The sequence below is a fragment of the Homo sapiens genome, chromosome 2 (assembly GCF_000001405.40).
Source record: "Homo sapiens chromosome 2, GRCh38.p14 Primary Assembly".
Lineage (NCBI taxonomy): Eukaryota > Metazoa > Chordata > Mammalia > Primates > Hominidae > Homo > Homo sapiens.
The window spans coordinates 191,516,194-191,540,746 of record NC_000002.12 but is presented as its reverse complement, the minus strand read 5'-3'; the positions used below and the strand labels follow the sequence as shown (position 1 = coordinate 191,540,746).

Sequence of the window (24,553 nt, the reverse complement as noted above, 5' to 3'; positions counted from 1 at the left end):
CCAAAACACATGAGGCACTAGACAGATTCATTATAAGCACAAGCAGAAAAAAAAGTCACATATGAATTTGCACTAAGGCAGCATTCGGTGGCTCACTCCTGTAGTCCTAGCACTTCGGGAGGCCAAGGCAGGTGGATCATCTGAGCTCTGGAGACCTGCCTGGGCCACATGGGGAAACCCCATCTTTACAAAAAAATACAAAAAATTAGCCGGGCATAGTGGTGCATGCCTGTAGTCCCCACCACTCAGGAAGCTGAAGTGGGAGAATGACCTGAGCCCTGGAGGTCAAGGCTGTAGTGAGCCGAGATCAGACCGCTGAACTCCAGCCTGGGCAATGGTGTGAGACCCTGTCTCAAATAAATAAATAAAATTTACACTAGGGAACCTTACATATAGCCAAAGATTTTAATATGTGGTACAGAGTTGTAAGCTCTCTCTCTGAGTGCTGGCTCCTACATAGCAGAGAGAGTGAAGATACATTAATCGATAAAGCACTGAAAAACAAGAAATGATTTGTTCCTAGCAACATCCCTGTGGCTATGTCATATTCTTGGTGATAAAGATGATTCACTAAGAGATTCAGTTAGAGACAAGACAATTGTGGAATGAGGATTATGGTGGCACTCACACATTTTGCATCCCCCAGTCCCTGCATAACCCAGAAAGAAGATAGTCCTGTTTCTAAATCTGTATGCAAATTTTTCCTCCATGGAAGTATAATATCTGAAAGCAAAATTGGTCCATTGAGTTAATCACTAAATAGGGCACTTCAGTGTGCTCTAGTTCTGACATCTAATCAGCAATACAGCTGCATTTAAATACTGAAGACTTAAAGGTTTTTGGCTTCTGAAGCAAAGGATTTTCTAGGTAATCTTGCCTATAAGGTCCTTGACTTGTGCCGTCAAATGCTGCCAACTGTGATTTGCAGGAAATCAGGAAATAACAGTGCGGTCTGTTTTTCTCCTGTGTACTGTGTAAGGTTGGGAGTTTTTCATTATAATTACCATTTGCTAGTGAAAAGCTCATTTCTCAATTTTACTGTTGACTGGATAGAAACCAAATTTGCCAGAGATATGTGTGCACGTCCTCCTCTCCTCCACAATGAACTCCAACACCAGTCAAGGCACAGTGTCACATGCGGTCCTTAGAACAAGTCAGGAGCTTCTGCTCAAAAACCTCCAGGACTTGAGCTTAGGCCAAGATTTTGCTTCTTTTTTTTTTTTTTTTTTTTTTTGGTAATCTCTTTGTTCTCTGAACAGAAAGAATCTAACAGAGCAAAAACCAAAATTTGAAATTATGCTAAAATAAAAATGCTTGTAGGTTATTGCAGTGTAGATTATGCAAAAAAAGAATCATTAGGATAGGGCAATCAGCTTCCATTAAATAAGCCTAAAAGCAGCAGCTTGGGGGATAAAAAAGAAAAAAAAAAGAAGAAAAGAAAAAAGAAAAAGACACACTGAGACATTGCCTTCGGTGCCCCCTGCTGGAACAACGGTAATTATGCTTGTTAGAATATTTAGCATAATTAGTCTTTAGCTGCCCATTTCAGTTTTGCTCAAGATATAAATGTCAAGTCAAAGCTATTAAAAACCATATTCTTGAGAAACAGATACTCAGAAGGAGAATTGCCCAGGTAGCAAATGCTCTGTTGGAAATCACAAATGCCACTGAATATTTGTATTGTTGTGCTGGCTGGATGCACTAATTACTATAATTTTTTTATAGCATATGAACTCTAGGCTGTTTGATAGCCACAATAAAATTAATTTTATGTTAATTAGCCTCCCATTCAAGTGAAAACTAAAGTCACAAACTGCCCTGCCCTTCCTTCATGTGGGCTATTTCCTCTCAGGAGGCTGGTCAGTGTACCCTAGGTCTGTTTCCTACTAAACGGCAGGGTTCCCTTGGCCCTGAGCTACTGTAAACCAGGAATGGGATTTACTGTCTATCAACTCAGAGAAAAATAGATCCCCTCCCCAACCAGTCCCCCAGGCAGCGTGAGTGTCACTGGCTAGGCTCAACAGAAAGCGCGGTCTGGTGTCACCAGCTGAGCAGACGACCCTTGTGCCTGTTTTGCATTTATCATGGTTGCTTCCCTTGGGGACAATAAGAAGAGTGAGGCAAAAGTCCCCCTCCCCTAGCAAGGAGACTGTCATTGCCCTATCAGCTTCCAGAGCAGCTTTTATCTGAGACTAGTGCTGGGAATAGAGACTCACAGGCTGGATGAAGAAAACTGCCTGGGGAAGGGGATCCCTCCTCCAGGCAGTGCTGGCAAGAGGCTCCCTATGATGGCACCTACTGTGGATGAGGTACAGGGTTTTTAGACTCACAGCAGCTCCAAGGGCCTTTCCCTCTCCTTCGTTTTACAGGTAAGAAAATGGAGATAAAGGAGGGCATGAGACTTCCAACATCGTGCAATGAGTTGGTGGCAGAGTTGATGTGATGTCTGTGCAGGGCTCTTTCTGTTATGTTCCAGTTCACGAAAGTAAGAAAGGATGAGATCTGCTCTGATGAGGTTGACAATCAAGTAAACATGCCTATTTAAAATAATAATAAGTTTTAAATATGCAAATGGAACTTGAGAATAGTATGCAAATGCGAGCATGAATAAACGTGGCTCTATAAGTAGGGTGGATGAAAATATGTGAATAAGCAGGCCAGATCAGACATCTGGCACATTTTTCAAGCAGAACTCCACCTTTTGGTTGTCTAATAATTCTTTCAGTGACTTACATGAAGAGGTTCCACAAGCCTTGTTTAAGGTGCAGGTAACCTGCCCACCTTCAGGCTCAGAAGCAATGGGTGACTGAAGGTCCCGACTGAATTTAAAACATGAGAACTTTCTGGAATTGCTGAGGCGAGAAGAGTCATACTTCCCAACTCTGCAAGTGGAGCCCTGGGTCCTTGTCTGGTCACAAACCAATTTTGTTAAGTGCTACTGAAATTGCTTTTTATCATCCAAATAAGAAGCAGTTCACAAGTAAAATGCAAGGCTTGACACATAAAAGCTTATTTGTAAGCCTGGGCCTAGTGACTTAATAGTCATCTTAAGACCCATAGAAACCATCTGTGCATTGGAAATAAGTTGTCAAAGAGTGGGAGGGCTCTGGGGGATCACAGATATTAGAACTGCATAACAGCTCCTCAGCCTCCATAAAATCATTTGGAATTACCAATTGCAGTTCTCTAATAATTCCACTGATGACTGTGTCTACTTATATCAAAGGAACTGATTCTAATCTGAATGTCTGGGCCACATCCCATGGTGAGGTCCAGCCTCAGCTGGATGAAAAACAAGACTGCCTCCAACCTAGAACAACCAGCTGTTCATTGTTTTCTTCTGCCTAAAATCTTCACTTCCTTGGGAGAATTGCTCCCCACACACCCTGACCATGCAGGAAATGATTCTGATTGGCTCCTTCTGAGTACTATGGTGCCATGCTCCCCTGGCCATAGGAATGGATTCTCACTCAGTTTTCCACAGATATCTATTGAGTGCATTGTCTTGGCACTGGGGCTTCAGCAGTGAGCAAGACCAGCAGCCTCTCTGCCTACATGGAGCTTAGATTCTACTGGAAGAGGTGGACAATAACACAGAGCGAAAAGTCAATAGTATGCTTTTTAACAATGAGTAACAGGAAGAAAATAAAGCAAGATGGCAGCTGTAAACCACCTGTGGGATACTGAAGAACTGATAGTGGAGCACAGACCCGAACGATGGGAAAAATCCTGGCATGGAAATACCTGGAAAGGAGCATGTGACGGCAACCAGCCCCAACAATCGTTTCCTACACAGCAATTAGCCCAGAACTGGGCATGCCACCCAAGCCAGGCCAATCACAATTTGAAGTCAAAGAGAAGAGCCTTATCTTTCAGTTGGGGAAAGACTGCCAAAACTCATCTTCTTCAAAGGGTGCAGAAAGCCCATCCTGTACTCAGAGAGAATGAAACCAAGAGGAGTGAGTCCCTAGATACAGCACACCTGAAGTCAGACCACCATGTAACAGATCACCCTTCAAGATCCACCATGGAATCAGATCCCCCTTCAAGAAAGGACCTGCTTTCCACCTTTGAGGAGTGTGCTTGGCTGTAGTTGGTAGAGACAGCCTCCAGCTATTAGCTTCATGGGCCACCAGCCTTTAGATTGAGGTCACACTCTTCTGAGGCTGCCCCAGCCCATGACTGAGCAAGGCTCTGATAACCAAGGTCAGATTCTTTTTGAGGGTCCCAAGAAACAAGGCCTAGTCCAGAGATCCTCAAGCTTTCTCAGTTCATGGCACTCTTAGTGCTCAGTAATTTTTTCATGGCACCCCAGAAGTCAAAAGAAATGCCTATAGTTCCCTTTTTTAAATAGTTAGGTCCAAACGAGTAAACAGTAGTAGTTTGTGCAGTGCCTGACATACGTTACCGTGTTTCCCTGGAAAATTAAAAATACCCTGCAGTGCCCCTGAGTGTTTTCCCTGGCACCCTGGAGAGTCAGGCAGCGCAGTTCAGGAATCACGGTCCTAGCCATTCCCACCCAATGCAGAGCTCCTTCAGAGCCCCATGTGGTGCTAGCAGAGACTGTGGGATCTGTTTTGCAGACTGGTGGCCTCTTCTGCCCACTCTGCTTCCTCCCTTTTCCTTTCACTAGTGTTACTACCCAAGAAAACGTTTGCACTCCTAACTCCATCTGTGTGTCTGCTTCTGGAAGAAACCAACCTGCAACATCCTTCTTGACTTCCAAATTTTTTGAGGAATAAATTCCCTTTTTTTAAAAAAAAAAGATTTAAACTATTTGGAGTTGGATTACTGTCAAGTATTGTCAAAAGGGCACTAACAATATGCCAAGACAAGTGTATGGCTTTAGTTTCCCGTAATGACAAATCTAAAAAGTGAGTAGAATTGAGAGAATCCAATAGTCATTATAATGAAGAGAAAAACAAGATAGTCCTGAGCATTTTCTCTTAGCAAATGCTCCAAAATTTAGCAGTCCTTATAACTTCTAACTAAGCCCATCCTTTAGACAAATGATGTAGTAGACTATGTGCTCATTTTGAGCAATGGGAGAGAACAGACATGCAAGCTCTACTGATTGATATACAATAGCAATCATTTTATTGAAGGAAAGTTGAAAGTTTGCTTTCTCAAGATAACTGTTTGTGGTAGTAGAATTGGTAGAGAACGTAGACCTTGGACCCCTTAGCCCAGTTGGGTTATGCAATGCGTAATGGGATTGAAATTGGAAAGTAATGAATAGTTAATTTTCATAATATTAAATAAGCTGCCCCACCAAAGCAGGGTTGCCAGGCCATTTTGACAGATATTCACCTCTGTATTCGATAGTGAAAACAACATCAGTGGGATAATTTATTTTGAGCAAAGTTCTCAATTATCAATGTGTTATATCTGTGGCTTGTCCTTACACTCCAATACTTTAGCCAAGACACTTTCATTAAATCAACTCCCCCCATCTCAAACTAACTGGTTCCTAACTAACCTGAGCCTCCTCTAGTACTTTGTTTCCTTGTTATTGATGCCTTTGTAAACCCCCAGAACCTTATCCTTTCAACTAAACTGGTTTAAAGGTTTATTTGCCTCAAGCCCAGTCCAGTTCCTTATCTGTAGCAACTTGGTTCTTCATTCCAATTCTGCAGTCTAGGCTCCCAGCACCTCTTTTATAAAGGGCTAGAAAACCTTGCTATCCTCAGTCTCTCCCCTCCACAATGTACAGCCCACTTACCACCATACTTTTCCTCCCACACATAAGAACTTCATTTCCCTGCTTAAAATCCTCTGGAATATTCCTCAAAGTGGCATGCCCACACTGTTCCCAGTTGGCTTCTCTGCCCTCATGCCCAACCATTAACTGCCACGAATTCATTGATCTGGCCACACAGAGTCTCCCACTGTTTTCTAAATGGTCCATGCCTTTTCTTGCCTCAGGTTCTTTCCTTTTTGCTGTTCCCTCTACCTGGCTTGCCCATTTCTCTCTTCTTTGCTCACACTCAACGTTTAAAGCTCACTTCAAATGGCCCCTCATCTCAAGAGCTCTCTCCAGGCAGCACAGATCACCTGACTTCATCTATGCTTCCTTCATGCTTGGTGCTTAAGCTATTTCCATATAACTTATCGTTTGCATGACTCTCTGCCTCAAGCAACTCCTGAAGAAGACCAAGTGTTCTTTCACATCGTATCACTGCTTCTAGCACAAAGGTAGTTCAATAGCAGTTTGAGGAATTCGACTGAATGAGTTTGTATACGTGTCATATATGCTGTAACAGCTAAAAGGCTCAATGTATAAAAGCCAACAGTAACCTGCAACAATGTAAGAGAACTTCATGAAATCTCTTCCCAAGGTCACATTTAGTGAATATATTCCAAAAATGATCGAACTGATCATCTTACCAGATCAGATCTCCTTCTACTCCCACCTCCTTGTGGCCATCTTATTCTCCTTGTACTGCCAGCCCCCAGCATGCTGGTCATAGAGAAAGTGCTCCATAATTGTTGATGAGATATTGAGAAATGAATAAATTATGTACAAAAATACACACACATTCTATATCAGCATTTTAATCAGTCTTAAATAAAAGTAATACAGCTACAATATGTTCAATTATTCTCTTCACCTTGGATTCACCTGAATCTTCAAAGAGTTCTACCTATCAATTATATTTTTCTCTCTAAAACTATGTTATAAATTGGCAGCAAACTTTCAGACCAAAAATAAGAATTCAGGAAGGAAGCTATTTCTCTACCAAGTGAGTATTGCATCATTGACACTGAATGCAGTTGGCCTCATCAGTAAGATGAATAATAAGTAGATTGAGTTTTTTAAATAGTAAAAAAACCCAAGTGAGTTTCATAACCCAATCATTAGTGGATGAAGCCAACCTTGAACACACAACTAGACAAGAAGTTATGTTTATGCTCTGTACTGTTTATCTCCAGGCATTTTATTGCCATATTTAATACACATTACAATAAACACTAAAAAAAAAAAAGTCTAAGAAAAAGAGCATTTAATGAAGGCAGGCCCAAATTACGACAGAAATATTTCCAAAAAGAGAAACATTTAATTCTTTTTATAGAGAACTAAACCTGAGATGAAGCACCTCAAGCATTTCCCCAAATATGCATCATTGTACAAGCAAGGGATTTCTCTCCATCAGGTTAGATGTGAGAAAGGGATTGATTTGATTTGGACCCCTGTTCTTGCCAGTTAGACTCACCTTCCTGACACTCCTCTTTCTTATTTAGAAGCAGCATACATCCCCCAATAGAGAGGATCCTCGTTATAAGCCAACCCAAACTGCACTTCTGTTAGTGCTAAATGCTCTTTTCAAGTTAAAAGAAATATAGTAGACAAAGCTCCAGGAACTCAGTCCTATATTTCTCTTCCCTTTGGAGCCTTACCCGCAGGCAGCAGGGGAGAGCTACCATACCATCATGGTCTTATTTAACGCTTCAGTCATTTTTCACTCTCTTCTAGAAGCAACTCTAGGCTCTAGCTCAGGTGTATCCGCAGGTGCCCTGGGACTTTACACCTGCCATGATGGAAGACATAAACACAAGTTAATTAAGTCTATTGTTCAAACAATTTGTTTCTCACTGAGGCTGACTCACTTGCAACTACATCTGCACAATTTTATTTCCAGAAGTAGCCTTCCGCCTTCATTCTGGGTGTGAGGACTCTCTCTTTAGAAATTCACTTTATTTCTGAGACTCTTGGGTCACTGACAGAATAACACTTAACCAAAAAAAAATACATCAGCAATTTAATCAGCATTTGAATATATATATAGCTAATGGATGACAAGCTGTTTTTTTGTTTTTGTTTTTGTTTTAAAAAAAAATTATGTGATACTTGGGCCAGGTGTGGTGGCTCATGCCTGTAATCCCAGCACTTTAGTAGGCCAAGGTGGGCAGATCACTTGAGGTCAGGAGTTCGAGACCAGCCTGACCAACATGGTCAAACCCCATCTCTACTAAAAATACAAAAATCAGCCGGGCGTGGTGGCACATGCCTGTAATCCCAGCTACTTGGGAGGCTGAGGCAGGAGAATTGCTTGAACCTGGGAGGCAGAGGCTGCAGTGAGCCAAGATCGCGCCATTGCACTCCAGCCTGGGCAACAGAATGAAACTCTGTCTCAAAAAAAAAAAGTATGTGACACTTGTAATTTTTTTTCCTAGCCATAAAGTTCCTCAGGGTAACATCATTAAGGGAAAACTGGAATAAGTAGAGTGTTGAAGATTTAGTATTGCGTAGCATTCTTACTCAAAGTCAGGACTGAAAACTACTTTTGAAAGGCTTTCATAGTCTCTCTGGCAGAGTGAAGCATAGAAAATGAATGGAAGGTTGAGTCCGAGGAGAAAAATTTAGGCAAGACATACACAGAGGGAGGTTTGAAGCATGCTGCTTTGTTTTTGTACAAAAGGATCAAAGGACATTTCTCACATTAATTGCTTCTATTTTTACTTGCATCCTTATTGTGCTTCCATTCATCTCTCTAACTGATGTCCTGGACACTCTTTTTGTCCTTGTTCCTCTCTCATCACATGCCACATAATTTCTGCCTTGGATCATCCATCCCTTTCCTCTTCTCTCTCTCTCTCTCTCTCTCTTCCTTCTCTCTCTCTCTCTCTTTCTCTCTTTCTCTCGTTAGGTTCTGTATTCTAGAGCAGCAGAGAAGGCCAGCTGCCACCCATATGCTGCCCTTCCATGTTGTAAAGATGTCCCTGGGCAGCAGCTAACCAGCCAGAGCCCTCATTTCCCAGCCTCCCTTGCGGTAGGTTGAAGCGAAGTGACTGAATTCTTCCCAGTGGAATGTGAGGGGAAGGGTGCACCCTCTCTCCAGGCCTCTATGCAATCTTCTGTATATCATCTGTGGAATTCTCCATGCTCTCGCTTTCTGCTTCAGACACCTGACACTGATGCCCACTCATGGTCATATTGGAAGCCATCTGCTGAAGATGGCAGAGTCTCTGTCAGCCTAGGACCCTCATTGATTTCCTCTTCCATCTGCCTTCCTCCCACAGGTGGACTGTCTATAAGCAAGAAACAGATTTCATTTGTATTATGTCATCGAGATTGCAGGGGTTACTATTGAAACAGCTAGCAGTACCTTAACTAATACATGAGGGCAATGAAAGAAATCAAAGCCTACTACAGCAATCAATCATTCATGTCACAAATATTTATGGAGCACCTACTATATCCAGGGCCCTGTACTAAGGTTGGGGGCTAGACAGACATAGTCGAACACTCACAGAGCTTACACAGAAGTTCCTTAATTTCTAAATCATCTTGTTTTCCTAAGAGCACCTATTCTGTTGCATTTCACCTGACATCTCTGAAGTAGGAAAGTAATTTATGTGTATTTTACACATGAGGAAGCTACAGCCGAAGCAGAATGTGGCATTTGGGTAAGCCAAATCCATCTTCCTGACAGAGCTTCTTATACAGCATGGTCTGGAGAACCACCAAGTAAAGTAGAACTGGCTTCTTGATATAGTTTAGATATCTGAAGCCCAAATCTCGTGTTGAGTTGTAATCCCCAGTGCTGGAGGTAGGGCCTGGTGGGAGATGTTTGGATCATGGGAGTGGATCCCTCATGGCTTCGTGCTGTCTTCATGATAGTGAGTGAGTTCTCATGAGATCTGGTCATTTAAAAGTGTGGGGCACCTCCTCCACCAACTCTCACTCTCTTGCTCCTGCTCTGGCCATGTGACAAGCCTGCTACTCCTCCTTCACCTTCTGCCATATTGTAAGCTTCCTGGGGCCTCCCTAGCAGCTAAGCAGATGCCAGCACCATGCTTTCTATAAAGCCTGCAGAACCATCAGCCAATAAAACCTCTTTTCTTTATAAATTACCCAGTCTTGGGTATTTCTTTATAGCAATGCAAGAACAGACTAACACACTTCTCCATGAGCCCTACCAAGTCAAGAACATGAACCACATTTTCCAGCCACTAAACACATGAGACCTCAGCTGCTCAGTGAAACACTGTGGTTTGAAACAAAAAAGGGTAAGAAAAAACAGATAACTGGAGGGTTTTTTTTTGTAAGATAGATGATACAGAAATCTAGGGTTTTCTTTCTTGCTATCGCTTTATAGAACTTGAAGAAATAACTCATTTTACAAATCATCTGCTTTTAACCACTTGTGCATGCATTTTAAAAATAGCCTATATAAAGAAGTGAGATGTAGCTAACTAACTCAGGCAAGGGTGAAACCTAAAACCCATACATTTTTGAAGACTCCTTTTAAGGAAAATAACATAAATTACAAAAGCAAAATTTGATACAGGGCCTGGAAAGGGCTATGGCAAATGAAGCTTTTGCATCATTGGTTTTATGGCAAATCCACGCACAAGCTGAAATTTTTAAAATTAAGTGACGAATTAAAATAAGGGTTGAAAATTTTCTAGATATAATCTCACTTTGCTCCATGGCCCAATTAATTGTGAATCAGTTGTCTATAACCAGATGTAGCAACGATCCATCAAAACTGTGTTTTTCAGTTCCTATGTTCTGAACCATGTATCTTGTTGCATACTCCTGCTTTGAATGTATTCATCTCTGTTTATGTAAGAGAGGACAACAAGAATTTTTTAATGAGAACACAAATATGGATACTGCAACATAAAATAATGATGGCAGAAGTCTTCTCTTCAGTTTGGAAAACTTATTTTTAATGCTAGTTGGAAAAAAAATGTATTCTTCTCACTGATTGTTAGACCTAGGGAAAACCACCATGCCATTGTGTGTTAGTCAAGTATAGTGATTAGAAAATGAGTTCATTTGGCTGGGCACGGTGGCTCACGCCTGTAATCCCAGCACTTTGGGAGGCTGAGGCAGGTGGATCACGAGGTCAGGAGTTCAAAACCAGCCTGGCCAAGATGGTGAAACCCCAACTCTACTAAAAATACAAAAAATTAGCCGGCCGTGGTGGCGGGTGCCTGTAATCCCAGCTGTTCGAGAGGCTGAGGCAGAGAATTGCTTGCACCCGGAGGCGGAGGTTGCAGTGAGCCAAGATCACACCACTGCTCTCCAGCCTGAGCGACAGAGTAAGATTCCATCTCAAAAAAAGAAAAAGAAAAAAGAAAAAAAGCTCATTTGGGCCCTGATCTCTAGCCACTTCCAACAAATAAGACTTCATTAAATAGATGTGCTATCTTCTGAGAACTAATGACCTTATGCTTTGTTGACTTGGGAAAACTCAGTTGCCAAATGAGAATTCTCTGCAATGAACTGTTGGCTTCTATATCTGAAGATTAAAATCCAGGGACCAATTAACAAGAGCTCATGGCTTATCTTTGCCACCAAAGGGCCTGGGGAAGCCCAGACCTGCAAGTCTTCACCTTGAGTTATCCTCAAGAGCAAATTTGTAACCTAGTTAGAAAGCAGACACATTTCTGCAAATGTTAAATGCTGTCCTGTTAAACTTCAGCCACAACTTTGAGTTAACATTAAGACCAAATTTTATTCTAAGATCCCAAAAAGTGAAGAGCTACCAAGATATTTATTTTCTTGGTTATAGCTTTCAATTTAGTTCAGGCAAAGCTATATATTCTACCATTACAAACTTACAAACTCTCACCATACCCAAAAGTTTGAAACCATCTGTTCTATATGGTAAGCATATAGGAAACCATTATTGTTAGATCATCCCACCCTTAACCCCACCCCAAAGAACCTGGAACTACATTTTCTCTCAAAGAGTCAACACATGATGAACATAGTTATCAATCTCCAGAAGTAATCAGCCTACTTCTCTGTCAACATACCAGAAGAGCAGAACAAAGAAATTGAGTAATTAAGACTTTGTAAAAGAGATTTGCAGATCTGAAGAAAGATCAGGTAAACTGAAAAAAAGAAAAAAAAAAAAAGGTCCACTTTGAGCCTGGAAGTTTCAGCAAGAAAGAATTCCGTGAGTTTAACCACTTTTGTTTATACCATATATAAAAATCTACTCAAAATCAATCATAGGCCTAAATGTACAAGCTAAAATGATACAACTTTCCAAAGAAAACATAAGCGTAAATTTTTTTGACTTTGGATTAGGCAATGGTTTCTTAAGAACAATACCAAAAGTACAAGTAACAGTAGAAAAGCTTAATTAATTTGACACCATCAAAATTTAAAACTTTCATGCTTCAAAGGATACCACCAAGAAAGTGAAAAGACAATGCATAAGATGGGGAAAAGTATTTGCAATCATAAACTCAATAACGCATTCAGAATATATAAGGAACACTTACAACTCAACAATAAAAAGACAAATAATACAACTACAAAATGGATGAAGGACTTTTTTTTGAGACAGAGTCTTGCACTGTCGCTCGGGCTGGAGTGCAATGGCACGATCTTGGCTCACTGCAACCTCCACCTCCCGGGTTCAAGTGATTCTGCTGCCTCAGCCTCCCAAGTAGCTGGGATTACAGGTGTCCACCACCATGCCCGGCTAATTTTTTGTATTTTTAGTAGATACGGGGTTTCACCATGTTGGCCAGGCTGGCCTCGAACTCCTGACCTCATGATCTGCCTGCCTCGGCCTCCCAGAGTGCTGAGATTACAGGGTGAGCCACCACGCCTGGCCAAGGATGAAAGATTTAATAGATGTTTTTTCAAAGAAGATATAAGTGGCCAATAATCACATGAAAAGATGTTCAATGCCATTACTTATTAGAGAAATGTAAATAAAACCACTATGAGATACCACTAGGATGGCTGAAATTAAAAAGATAATAACAAGTAATGAAGAGTATATGGTGGCTGGGCAAGGTGGCTCATGCCTGTAATCCAAGCACTTTGGGAGGCTGAGGTGGGCGGATCACTTAAGGTCAGGAGTTTGAGACCAGCCTGGCCAACATGGCAAAACCCCATCTCTAGTAAAAATACAAAAATTAGCTGGGCGTGGTGGCATATGCCTGTAATCCCAGCTACTTGGGAGGCTGAGGCAGGAGTATTGCTTGAACCCGGGAGGCAGAGGTTGCAGTGAGCGGAGATCATGGCGTTGCACTCCAGCCTGGGTGGCAAGACCGAAACTCTGTCTCAAAAAAAAAAAAAAAAAAAAGTATGTGGAGAAATTGGACACTCATACATTGCTGATGGGATTGTTAAGAAGATGTAGGCACTCTACCAAACAGTCTGATAGTTCCTATAGTTTTACATGTGACCCAGCAATTCCATGTCTAGAAATGAAATGAAAATACATGTCCACACAAAAACTCATATGTGAATGAATGTTCTTAGCAGCACTATTCATGGTAGCTGAAAATTGGAAACAACTCAAATGTCCATCAACTCAAGAGTGGATAAACAACATGCAGTATGTCAATATGATGGAATAGTACATGGGAATAAAAAGAAATGGAGTACTGATTCATGCTGCAACATGAATGAATCTGGAACACATTATGCTAAGTTCAAAAAGAAGCCAGACAAAAAAGAACATATATAATTTTATTTATATGAAGTGTTCAAAATAGGCAAATCCATAGAGACAATAAGGAGATTAGTAGTTGCCAAGGGCTGAGGGGAAGGGCAAATAAGAAGCGACTGCTAAGGGGTACTTTTTGGGGTGATGAAAACGTTCTGGAATTAGAGAGTGGTGATGGGTGTGTCACTTTGTGAATATATTAAAACCACTGAATTGTACAATTTAAAGGGGTAGATTGTGTAGTATGTAAATAAAGTTGTTATTTAAAAACAAAACAAAAACACATTTATGTTCAGGAAAGAGGGTGCGCTGATCACAATCCCTCTTAGCAGAAATGGTCAAAGAGATGGATGGCATCATTGTGTGGTGCTACCAGCCAACAGTATCTTCCAAATAACCTTCTTTGCTCTGAATCTGAATGTAATCTGGTTTCCCATTTAGGTTTTCTCACAAAAAATACACTTTTTATCAGTGTAAAAGTACACTTTTTATCAGCATTTTAGTTCCCTTTTATTCATGCATTTGATACATATCTTTGGGCCTCCAGTGTGCCGTGCACTGCAATATGCACATGGTATAGAGCAGTGAGTAAGACAGACATGGTCCCTGAGCTCACTATTCTCAAAGTGTAGTGGGAGGCACATAAAAAGGAAACAAACAAGGAAATAGTGTTATTTTTCATTATTTAGTGTCTCAAAACAACTTCTCTCCCTACCCAAAACCCTACCCTGACCTCACATAAGTTATTATATCTACATAATCCGTGTATCTCTGTATAATAATCTATGTATACAATCATATATATCAATATAGATACATATATAGTCTATTAATTGAGATAATATCTGTAAGCACTTAGACTATGCCAGGCACAGAGTAAGTGGTCAGTGACTATTATGATGACGGTCATTGTATGATTTTCTCCCAAAGAAGTGTTTGTATGAATGGTGTTGTGAGTAAAGATGACTTTAGGTCTTGGTTAGTCTGGTCTCCCTGGAGGGAGGGAGCCTCCTGGTGTCAGTCATCACAGAAAGAGGAAGGTGTCTGTTAGGTAACTGGGTATGTCTTAGGCAGGGGTGGTGGTGTTGCAGGGGACACCTTTGCTCTCTCCCCACTCTGTCCCTTGACCTCACTCTTTCAGGCCTGGATTTCAAGGTTTTTAACTTGTGTTTCCACAATCTAGTTGCTCTGAATCCTTGAGGGAGCTTTCATTTTTTTTTCTGAAAAATTTTTTTCCATAGGTTATTGGGGTACAGATGGTATTTGGTTACATAAGTAAGTTCTTCAGTGGTGATTTGTGAGATTTTGGTACACCCATCACCCACGGAATATACACTGTATCCCATTTGTAGTCTTTTATAGTCCCCCTTCCACCCTTGCCCCCAAGTCCCCAAAGTCCGTTGTATCATTCTTATACTTTTGCATCCTCATAGCTTAGCTCCCACATAACAGCAAGAAGATACGATGTTTGGTTTTTCCATTCCTGAGTTACCTCACTTAGAATAATCGTCTCTTGGCCAGGCGCGGAGGCTCACGCCTGTAATCCTAGCACTTTGGGAGGCTGAGGCAGGTAGATCAACTGAGGTCAGGAATTCGAGACCAGCCTGGCCAACATGGCGAAACCCCATCTCTACTAAAAAATATAAAAATTAGCTGGGCGTGGTGGCACACGCCTGCAATCCCAGCTACTGGGAGGCTGAGGCTGGAGAATCACTTGAATCCAGGAGGCGGAGGTTGCAGTGAGCCAAGACTGTGCCACTGTACTCCAACCTGGGTGACAGAGCGAGACTCTGTCTAAAAAATAAAAAAATAAAAAATAAGAGTCTTTTAGGGAAGCTTTTAAATAAAGATACTTGAACCCAAACCCAGGGGGTTCCTAATACAATAAGCCTGGGGTTAGAGTGCTTAGCGTCCTCCTAAATAGTAAGAGTTAAGGAAAGTTGAACAAAGAGACAGGCCCAGACTGAATCTACACCACATTCCTACTGATGGCTCCAAGCTCAAGCATGCAAACAGTATCTGGCAAGCCACATTATCCAACTCATGTTACTCTCCACAGTGTTGCTAAAGCTAATCAAAGATTGGGGTCCATACCCAGTCTGGCCAGAATAAAGGACTGAGAAGTTACAGCAGTGACAGGGAAGCAGTCAGTGGCCTTCCAGTAGCGAAGGAAGATTCAGGGCTGCCTTTTCCGAAACAGTTAATATCCCACGACTTATCGAGAGGCAGAGGTAGCCACTGAACCGGGGCTTCACATTCATGAAGTAGATTTTTGGGTTTGTAGTCACAGAGACACACTGAGAAGACTGGATATTTAAGCTAAACTACAATTTTTGTAACCTTGAATTGGTGTTTCTTTTTCTCTGACTATATTGAAAGTATTTCTTAAAATGTCTTTATTGTAATACCTAAGTTCTATTCTTTTTATTGTAAGATTGGCTTTCTTGTTTTTATTTCAGTATAGCTGTGTAATTTAGAGCAAATTACTTAACCATTGTGAACTTCAGTTTCTTCATCTATAAAAATGAGAGCAATGATGGCCGGGTGCGGTGGCTCATGCCTGTAATCCCAGCACTTTGGGAGGCCAAGGTGGGAGGATCACCTGAGGTCAGGAGTTCAAGGCCAGCCTGACCAACATGGTGAAACCCCATCTCTACTAAAAATACAAAATTAGCCAGGCATGGTGGCACATGCCTGTAATCCCAGCTACTTGGGAGGCTGAGGCTGGAGAATTGCTTGAACCCGGGAGGCAGAGGTTGCAGTAAGCCAAGATCACACCATTGCACTCCAGCCTGGGCAACAACAGTGAAACTCCATCTCAAAAAAAAAAAAAAAAATAGCAATGATAAAATTGATCACAGGAAGTTGTTGTGAGGATAAAATAAGGTGATAGATTTAAGACACTGAGCCTGGCAGATTATTAAACCCCTAATAAATGGTACCTATTAGGTGGATATTGTGGCTCACATCTGTAGTCCCAGCATTTTGGGAGGCCAAGGCAGGAGAATCACTTGAGGCCAGGAGTTCATGACCAGCCTGGGTAACCACAGTGAGACCTCATCTCTACAAATAATTTTTTAAAAATTAGTCGGGCATGGTAGCATGCAACTGTAGTCCTAGCTATTCAGGAGGCTGAGGCAGGAGGATCACTTGAGCCCAGGAATTCAAGGTTACAGTGAGCTACAGTCACACCACTGCCCTCTAGTCTAGGTGACAGAGTGAGATCCTGTCTCAAAAAAAAAAAAAAAAAAAAAAAAACAAACAAACAAAAACCTATTATTGGTAGTAATAGCAAATTTTTGAGGTAATAGTAACATCAGCAATTGAGCCACAAAATCCAGGATCTGAATCTGTCAAGCTGAGGACCAGACCTCAAGCCACAGTGACTTCATCCATGCCAGTCAGGCAGCAGGCATTGTTCTTAAACTTCTTTGTTGAGTCTTTAGCTAAAGACTTTAGTAAGTTTTTTGTTTGTTTGTTTGTTTGCTTGCTTGTTTGTTTGTTTGAGATGGAGTCTCTCCCTGTCACCCATGCCAGAGTGCAGTGGAGCGATTTCAGCTCACTGCAAACACTGCCTCCCGGGTTCAAATGATTCTCCTGCCTCAGCCTCCTGAGTAGCTGAAATTACAGGCTTAAGACACCACACCCAGCTAATTTTTGTGTTTTTAGTAGAGTCAAGGTTTCACCCTGTTGGCCAGGCTGGCCTCAAACTTCTGAGCTCAAGCTATCTGCCCGCCTCGGCCTCCCAAAGTGCTGGAATTACAGGCATGAGCCACTGCGCCTGACCGGTGTAAGTCCTTTATTTATAAAAAATGAAGCCATTCATATTAGTTCTCACAAATTTCAGAGTAGTCTTTTTTCTAGATATAAGGATGGATGGATGGATGGATGGATGGATGGATGGATGGATGGACAGACAGACAAAAGATAGATAATCAATAGTGGAAAGTTTAAAATATTATAATCTGAATAGTTTTGGTTTACCATGCCAAATTTCACTATCCAGTCCTCCAACAAATGTTTATTGAATGCTTATTACATGCCAGACATTTTGCTAGGTGCAGTGAATTTGATAGTGGGCAAAGCCAGGGATGCCCTCTGCCCTCATGAGACTTCAAAAACAGAACATCCCAGTGTAATTTTCAGGGCTGTAATATATTGAGGCAGTGACCTGTATGATGCATTCATTTTTCAGTGTTTAAATCCTTTAAGGTCCTCCAAGAACCAGCATCAAATGATTGCTAGTCCTAATTTTCCTGGGCATAAATCACTCCAAGCGTAAATTTCCCATGTTTTGGAGATCACGTGTCCAGGTTTTGCTGGGTGTCGTTCATCAGTGCCCTGCGGTGGGAAATTTATAAAACCATATTCTGGGTCACAGACTCCTCGTGTCAACAATCACTTACAAGGTCATTTAGGCCACCCTCATGCTCCATGAGGGAATGCTCCCATTATGTCTGAAAGTGTTCTTCCAGCTTCAGATAAATACGTTTACCTGCAAAAAAAAAATCATTGCTCTCAAAAAGTAGCTTTTCCCTGACGGCATCATGCTAATTACTTGGAATGACTTTCCCTCAGTGAACATATTGTCATAAAATGATAAATTCCCTGAGGCTAACATTTATCATTTTCCAGACCCTGGTCATGGACCTCACCAGGCTTCCTCAGTCAACTCTACTAAACAAATAAAATTAGATTCATGACATTTGAAAAGGCAGCATGATTACAGTCATCACTTAGAAGACAATGGGGCAAAAGACTGCTCAAAAAATTAAAAAACAATGAAATCCACAAGCCCAGACTCCAGCCAATCCAAAAGATTTAAAATGAGACATGTAAGGTATATGTGTGTGTGTGTGTGTGTGTGTGTGTGTATTTATATGTACATATGTATATGTGTGTATATGTGTGTGTGTATATATACACACACACATATATAAATTGTAAACTAAATTGAAACAAAAAACATTAAGAAAATTTTAACTCTGGTTTCAATTTAAATCAAGAGAGAGAAGGTGTTGGAAAAAATGATCAAATTAAAGCAATTGGGAAATATTTGCTAGGATTACAGAATTCCAAAATGAGCACGAAGCCCTGATTCAGGGCCTAATTGCTCCTGATGGCTGCACTAGACCATCACTAAATTCTCCTTTGTCAAAACCTCTAGTGAAGAGTCTTAAGTGAGAAAATGTAGGGGGGAAATGAAGTGAACTCTTTAGTACTGAATGATTTCACTTTAAAAGAAATCTCCATGTGCACTTTTAAAAAGGTAGTCTGTATCCTGTCAGCATAAATATATGTTCTATAAACCTGCAGTTTGTATTATTAGAAAGCACTGAGCTTAGTTTTTATCAAGTCATTTGAATTTTTTATCCATTTACTCACAATCTTGATAGGGCAGACAATTATTAGACCAAACACAAAGTTAAACGGACCTTCCTAAGTGCAAGAAGCTATTAACTTTTTGCATTTGATCTTGGGTTCTCATTTTAACATGCAATGTAGACATTTAAACACCAGAGGACAGTGTGTGAATGAAAACAAAGTTCAATTGCTATTCATCTAATTCAATTCATTTACTTACTACATCAAAGTAAAATCTTAATTTTAAGTGCTTTTCCCCCCAAAGACATTTTATGTCATTTCATGCTTCAGAAATTAAAAGTAGAGGTTGATAGAAATGTGAATCATGAGACCAACTAATCAAGTTAATTTGAATCATAATGGAAATTAGAAAGATTAATTTCATAAGCAATCATTAATAATGGAAGCTCTCATGTACGAATAATCAAAGCTTTAAGTATTATATGGTAATTAATTCATTACTATGGGTTACATATTTTAAAATAGCTCAAATCTTCCTTGCTTTGGTGTGCTTTTTAATAGCAATCCTTAGGGAAGAAAAGTTAAAAGGTTTCTTTATGAAAGTTTTCTGTATGTGTTTCTTAATGGGCAAGCAAGAAAGTTGAATTAAATTCTACAATAAATAGGCTTGCTCATTTGGTAACAGGCCTTCTTCAACCATAGAAGAAGTCAATTGTCAGACCTTTGTGAAAGAGTAGAAGATTGTGCTATTGACAAAGAAATAGCCTAAGGTGGAAGATTAATTATATAATTTTGTTGTCCAACATTGCAACTAGTATTTTGTTTACATTTAATTTCATTTAAAAAGGCATTTGACTTGGGGCTTGATTTGGAAAGTGGTCTTGTATGCTGTCACCATTTACATCAGTACGCATTCAAACGTTCACTGAATAGTCACATTTCTCATTTGCAATGCCCCTATACTTTTCCCACATTCAAATTTATATGCAAAATACTTGTTATTATGAGTCGTCTACGCAAAAATCAGGCACAAATGGACTTAGAATGTACTTTTAAATATTACCTCTTCTTGTCTTAAGGAATGTTTCAGTATTATCATTAAAGAATTATGAAAACTGTTAGTATATTGTTTCTTATGATAACATAATCTCTAGAATACAATGGATTCCTATCATATTAAGACATATCTTCTGTATAAACCTTCTCATATATATATATCTCTTCTCATATATATAACATCTCCTTCTTCCATTTTTCTCAGTTTTCTAGGTGATCTGGATTTGCCCTGGTCTTGATAATACTTTGACTATAATATTTGACTTCCACAATGCTAATTTTATTCATTCCTCTAGCCAACAAGTACTGATGTCCCCCACATTTTTTTTTTTTTTTTTTTGAGAAGGAGTTTTGTTCTTGTTGCCCAGGCTGGAGTGCAATGGCGTGATCTGGGCTCACCGCAACCTCTGCCTCCCGGGTTCAAGCAATTCTCCTGCCTCAGCCTCCTGAGTAGCTGGGATTACAGGCATGCACCACCATGCCTGGCTAATTTTGTATTTTTAGTAGAGACAGGGTTTCTCCACATTGGTCAGGCTGGTCTTGAACTCCTGACCACAGGTGATCCGCCCACCTCACCCTCCCAAAGTGGTGGGATTACAGGGTGAGCCACCGTGCCCGGCCTGGTGTCTCCCACATTCTAGCCACTCTTTCTAGTACTGGAGATACTATGGCAAATAAGGCAGACTAGATCTGGAGAAAGTTCTACAAAGAAGCTTGCAAGGGCTCTGTGCTTCTCTAAGAATCTAAAAGAAGGCTATTACAACTGGCCCACCGAAGTGAATAAAGGAGAAAGTGACAGATGCTGTCAGATACCACAGAGTCTTGGCAGACTGGGTAAGGGGCTTAGAATTTACTCTGACTGTAATAGGAAGCCACTGGAGTTTTTTAAGCAGGGAAATGGTTTGAACTGATTCCCCTTTTAAAGTATCCCTCTGTTTGAACTGATTCCCCTTTTAAAGTATCCCTCTGCCAAGGAGGCAAGTGCAAAGGTAATGGCAGAGATAAAATGGTGGTTGTACTAGGATTGTAGCAGTGGAAATGATGGGAAGCAGGTAGACTCAGTGCATATTTGAAGGTTGGAGTGACAGGGACTTCTTTCTTGATGGGCTAGCCATAGCGTGTGAAGGACAGAGCAGTCAGTGATGGCTACTGGGTTTGCAGCTGAGAAGTCTGCGGGAGAGGCAGGTTTGCTTGGGGTGAGGGGTTGTTTGGGCCATGATAAATTTGAGGTGATTATTAAATATCCAAGTGGAAAAGTTGAGTTGGCAGCTGGATGTAGAATATGAAGCTCAGGCCGGGTGTGGTGGCTCACACCTATAATCACAGCACTTTGGGAGGCTGAGGCGGGCGGATCACCTGAGATCGGGCGTTCCAGACCAGCCTGACCAATATGGAGAAACCCCTTCTCTACTAAAAATACAAAATTAGCCGGGCGTGGTGGCAGGTGCCTATAATCCCAGCTACTCGGGAGGCTGAGGCAGGAGAATTGTTGAGCCCGGCAGGGGGAGGTTGCGGAGAGCCAAGATTGTGCCATTGCACTCCAGCCTGGGCAACAAGAACAAAACTCTGTCTCAAAAAAAAAAAAAGAAAAGAAAAGAAAAGAAATATGAAGCTCAGAGAGGAGGTCGCAGCTAGATGACTAGATATAGAGCCTCATGAAACTTATCAACTAACTGGAAAAGAGAGAGTTAAGCAAATAGTATGAGTAATAGATAATTCTTTTCTAGAAAAGAGAGTACATCTGACACATAAAAAAGAAAAAAAAAGAGCACAATGGGAGGAAAGCCGTATTTAAATTGAAGGATTCAAGACAGCCTCTTTGAGAGTGAAAACTCTGAAGACTTCTTTAGCAGCATTGTATTTAAGAGTTAATGACCTCAGATTACAGACCAGACCTTTACCTGTAAAATGATAATTGCTCAGGGAAATAGATCCCTAATTACATGCACCTTCTAATTCATAGCAGCACCCTAGATCATTTTCCTACCAATTACAAATATCATCCTTCATAAATATTATATGGAGCATATGCTCGCACAATGGACTATGACCAAGTGGCTAAGCCCTGGTTGTCAATTCTTTAATTTTTCTCTTGTTTGTAACTCTTTGTAGAGAAAAGAGGGGAACAACAGCATCAATGAATAAGGAATGATATATATTGAAGTAGCCTGTATCATATGCTTAAACTCTCCCTTCCACACCTCTCAAAATTCCAAGTTTTCTTTTCCATTTTGAATACCCATTATTATCGTAAGTTAAAGCCAGTATCTCAAACTTCATTTTCCAATTTCTCTTTCTTTCTTTCTTTCTTTGAGAGACTTAAGCCAAGTTCTTCCTGTAGTCTGTCAGACTGTTCACAGGTAACAGCACTCTCCTGTGGCACGAATTGCAGAACAGCTTGCTGTAAGTCTCGTCTGTCACATAATTCATTATCAGAATGTTTAATATTTTTCCTCGGGAATAAGAAGTTGTACTTCAGGAAAAAAAATAGAATAACCTCCCAAATAATGGTTCATAATCTTCTTAAAAAGCCAACCTTGGCAAGGCTAACATTGCCATTTTCAAATTGATTTGTTCTACCTAAGCTCCTCGCCCAGAAATTACTGAATACACACACACACACACACACACACACAAGTACAAAAATGTTCCTAAAACAGACTAAATGGTATGCATGTATTTTTAGGTTTTGGTTTATGCTCCCCTTAGATGCTGTCACAGAGGATCTAGTTGAACAATAAAAATATTAGAAATGCAGTTATTTTTACTGAGTTGATTGGAGCAAGCAGTTTGTAGTCTCAGAATGTAGCAAAGCTACCTAGACACTGTCAAGCTGGTAATCAAATACTTTCTTTACTAACATCTTAGTTTCTAAACCATAAAACTTGACTATTAACAGTTTCTTTCATTTCTGTTTCAATGGATTATATCCTATTTGGACTGGATCATTCCCACTGAGCCTCTGACTTCACCCTTTTGTTTGATCTCCAGCCTCCAACCCCCTTCCTGACAATCCTTCTGCCCAACTCGACCAGATTATGCTTCCTAAATTATCTCTTTGATCACGTCACTTTCTTGCTCAAAAATATTGGTGGCTCAGTATTTCTCCATGAAGTCCAAACCACTCAATGTAACACCAGCTGGCATCTCACTTCTCTCATAAACACACCCTGCAGCCCAGCTAAGCAGAGGTATCCACCATTGCTGTGCCTCATTTGAGAAGAACTTCCCCTCCACATCTTTGTTGAAGTTTTAAGCTTCCTTTAAGGTCCAACTTAAATGCTGTCTTCAAGATGATCTCTCTGATCATTAATTCTTCGAAAACAGCTTACACTCTCTGTAGCTATCAGTAGAGGGCTCCCAAAGTGACACCTATTAAGTGCCATGTACTCTTGCATTATGGGTCCTGCATTTGCATCATTGTTTGTTTGTTTTTTAATCTTTCCCACTAGAGTGTAAGGTCCTTACATTGAAGCCAGCCTCTATCTCCTTGTTTATCACTATATACCCATGGTATAGCACAGTATCCAGCACAAAGTAGGTGCTCAATAAATATTTCTTAGCCCAAATTACTAAGTTGTCTGAAACTTTAGTAGTGACATTAATTTTAGCCTGATCTAAAGAAGCACTGTTTTTAGAATATTTACACTGACAGCAAGTCTTCTTACTTCCTCTCTTACTACATTTTTTATTAATTAAAATTTTTGTGGTTTATGCTGTGCATTTTTACGTTTGCTTACTGTTGTCATGTATTCCATGAGAACAAGCAGGCTGTCTGTTTTACTTATGTGTTTATTTATTTATTTTTATTTTATTTTTAGATGGAGTCTCACTCTGTCACCCAGGCTGGAGTGCAGTGGTGCGATCTTGGCTCACTGCAACCTCCACCGCCTGGGTTCAAGCAATTCTCCTGCCTCAGCCTCCCTAGTAGCTGGGATTACAGGCGCACACCACCATGCCAGGTTAGTTTTCGTAGTTTTAGGTGAGATGGGGTTTCACCATGTTGGCCAGGCTGGCCTTGAACTCCTAACCTCAAGTGATCCACCTGTCTCAGCCTCCCAAAGTGCTGGGATTATAGGCGTGAGCCACCGCACCTGGCCTTGTTTTATTTTTAAAAAGAACCATGCTTGACAGGTTTTTAGATTGATCCCCAGCCCTACTGCCCAGTAAACCAATGGTTCAGCAATGGTAACATAGAGACCTTCAGCTTTTCAGCCTAAGGCTTTCTATTTTTACCCGCTACAAGACTTAGCTTGAGCCTTGAGAGGAACTTACCTTAGTTTTCTTAAGGGTCTGTAGCCAATAATGTTATCCATATGTCTTTTTAAAGCCTTAAATGGAATTGATGCAAATTCACTAGTATCCATTTATCTCAGTTCTGCAAAACCAAGTTAGTAGAGCCATGCAGCCAAGGTCATACTGTTTATTCCAGAGACTTATTTCCCCCATGTGCCTTTTCGAGCTCCCACAAAGGACTACTAGTGTTATACTTGCCCAAAGTGAAAGCACAACATGAGATTCTTGTAGTAATCTGTGTTCTCCTCCCTCTCCTTTCCCTTCCCCGCTTGCCATTCCTCCTTCTCTCCCCACCCGCTCAGTCATCAATGAGTTCCGTTCTGTCCCCACTCTAATAACTATAAATGACACCAATGCCCAGCAAGGAGCAAAGGTCAAACAGCTCTCCTGTATTCTTTATTTTTCTACCAAGATTGCAGGATTTATGTGGCAACAAAGAATAAAGAACT

General features: G+C 40.7%; 1 long non-coding RNA gene across 1 annotated transcript in view; it reads right to left on the bottom strand.

The window, feature by feature from the left end:
- LOC107985833 (uncharacterized) overlaps positions 1–24,155 on the bottom strand; it is a 31,909-nt gene extending 7,754 nt beyond the window's left edge. The window contains exons 1-2 of the long non-coding RNA XR_001739229.1: positions 24,084–24,155; positions 17,834–17,922 (exon numbers count right to left, since the gene is read on the bottom strand). This is a non-coding gene — a long non-coding RNA (uncharacterized LOC107985833). The remainder of the gene's footprint in view (positions 1–17,833; positions 17,923–24,083) is intronic.
- Between the last annotated feature and the right edge of the window lie 398 nt (positions 24,156–24,553).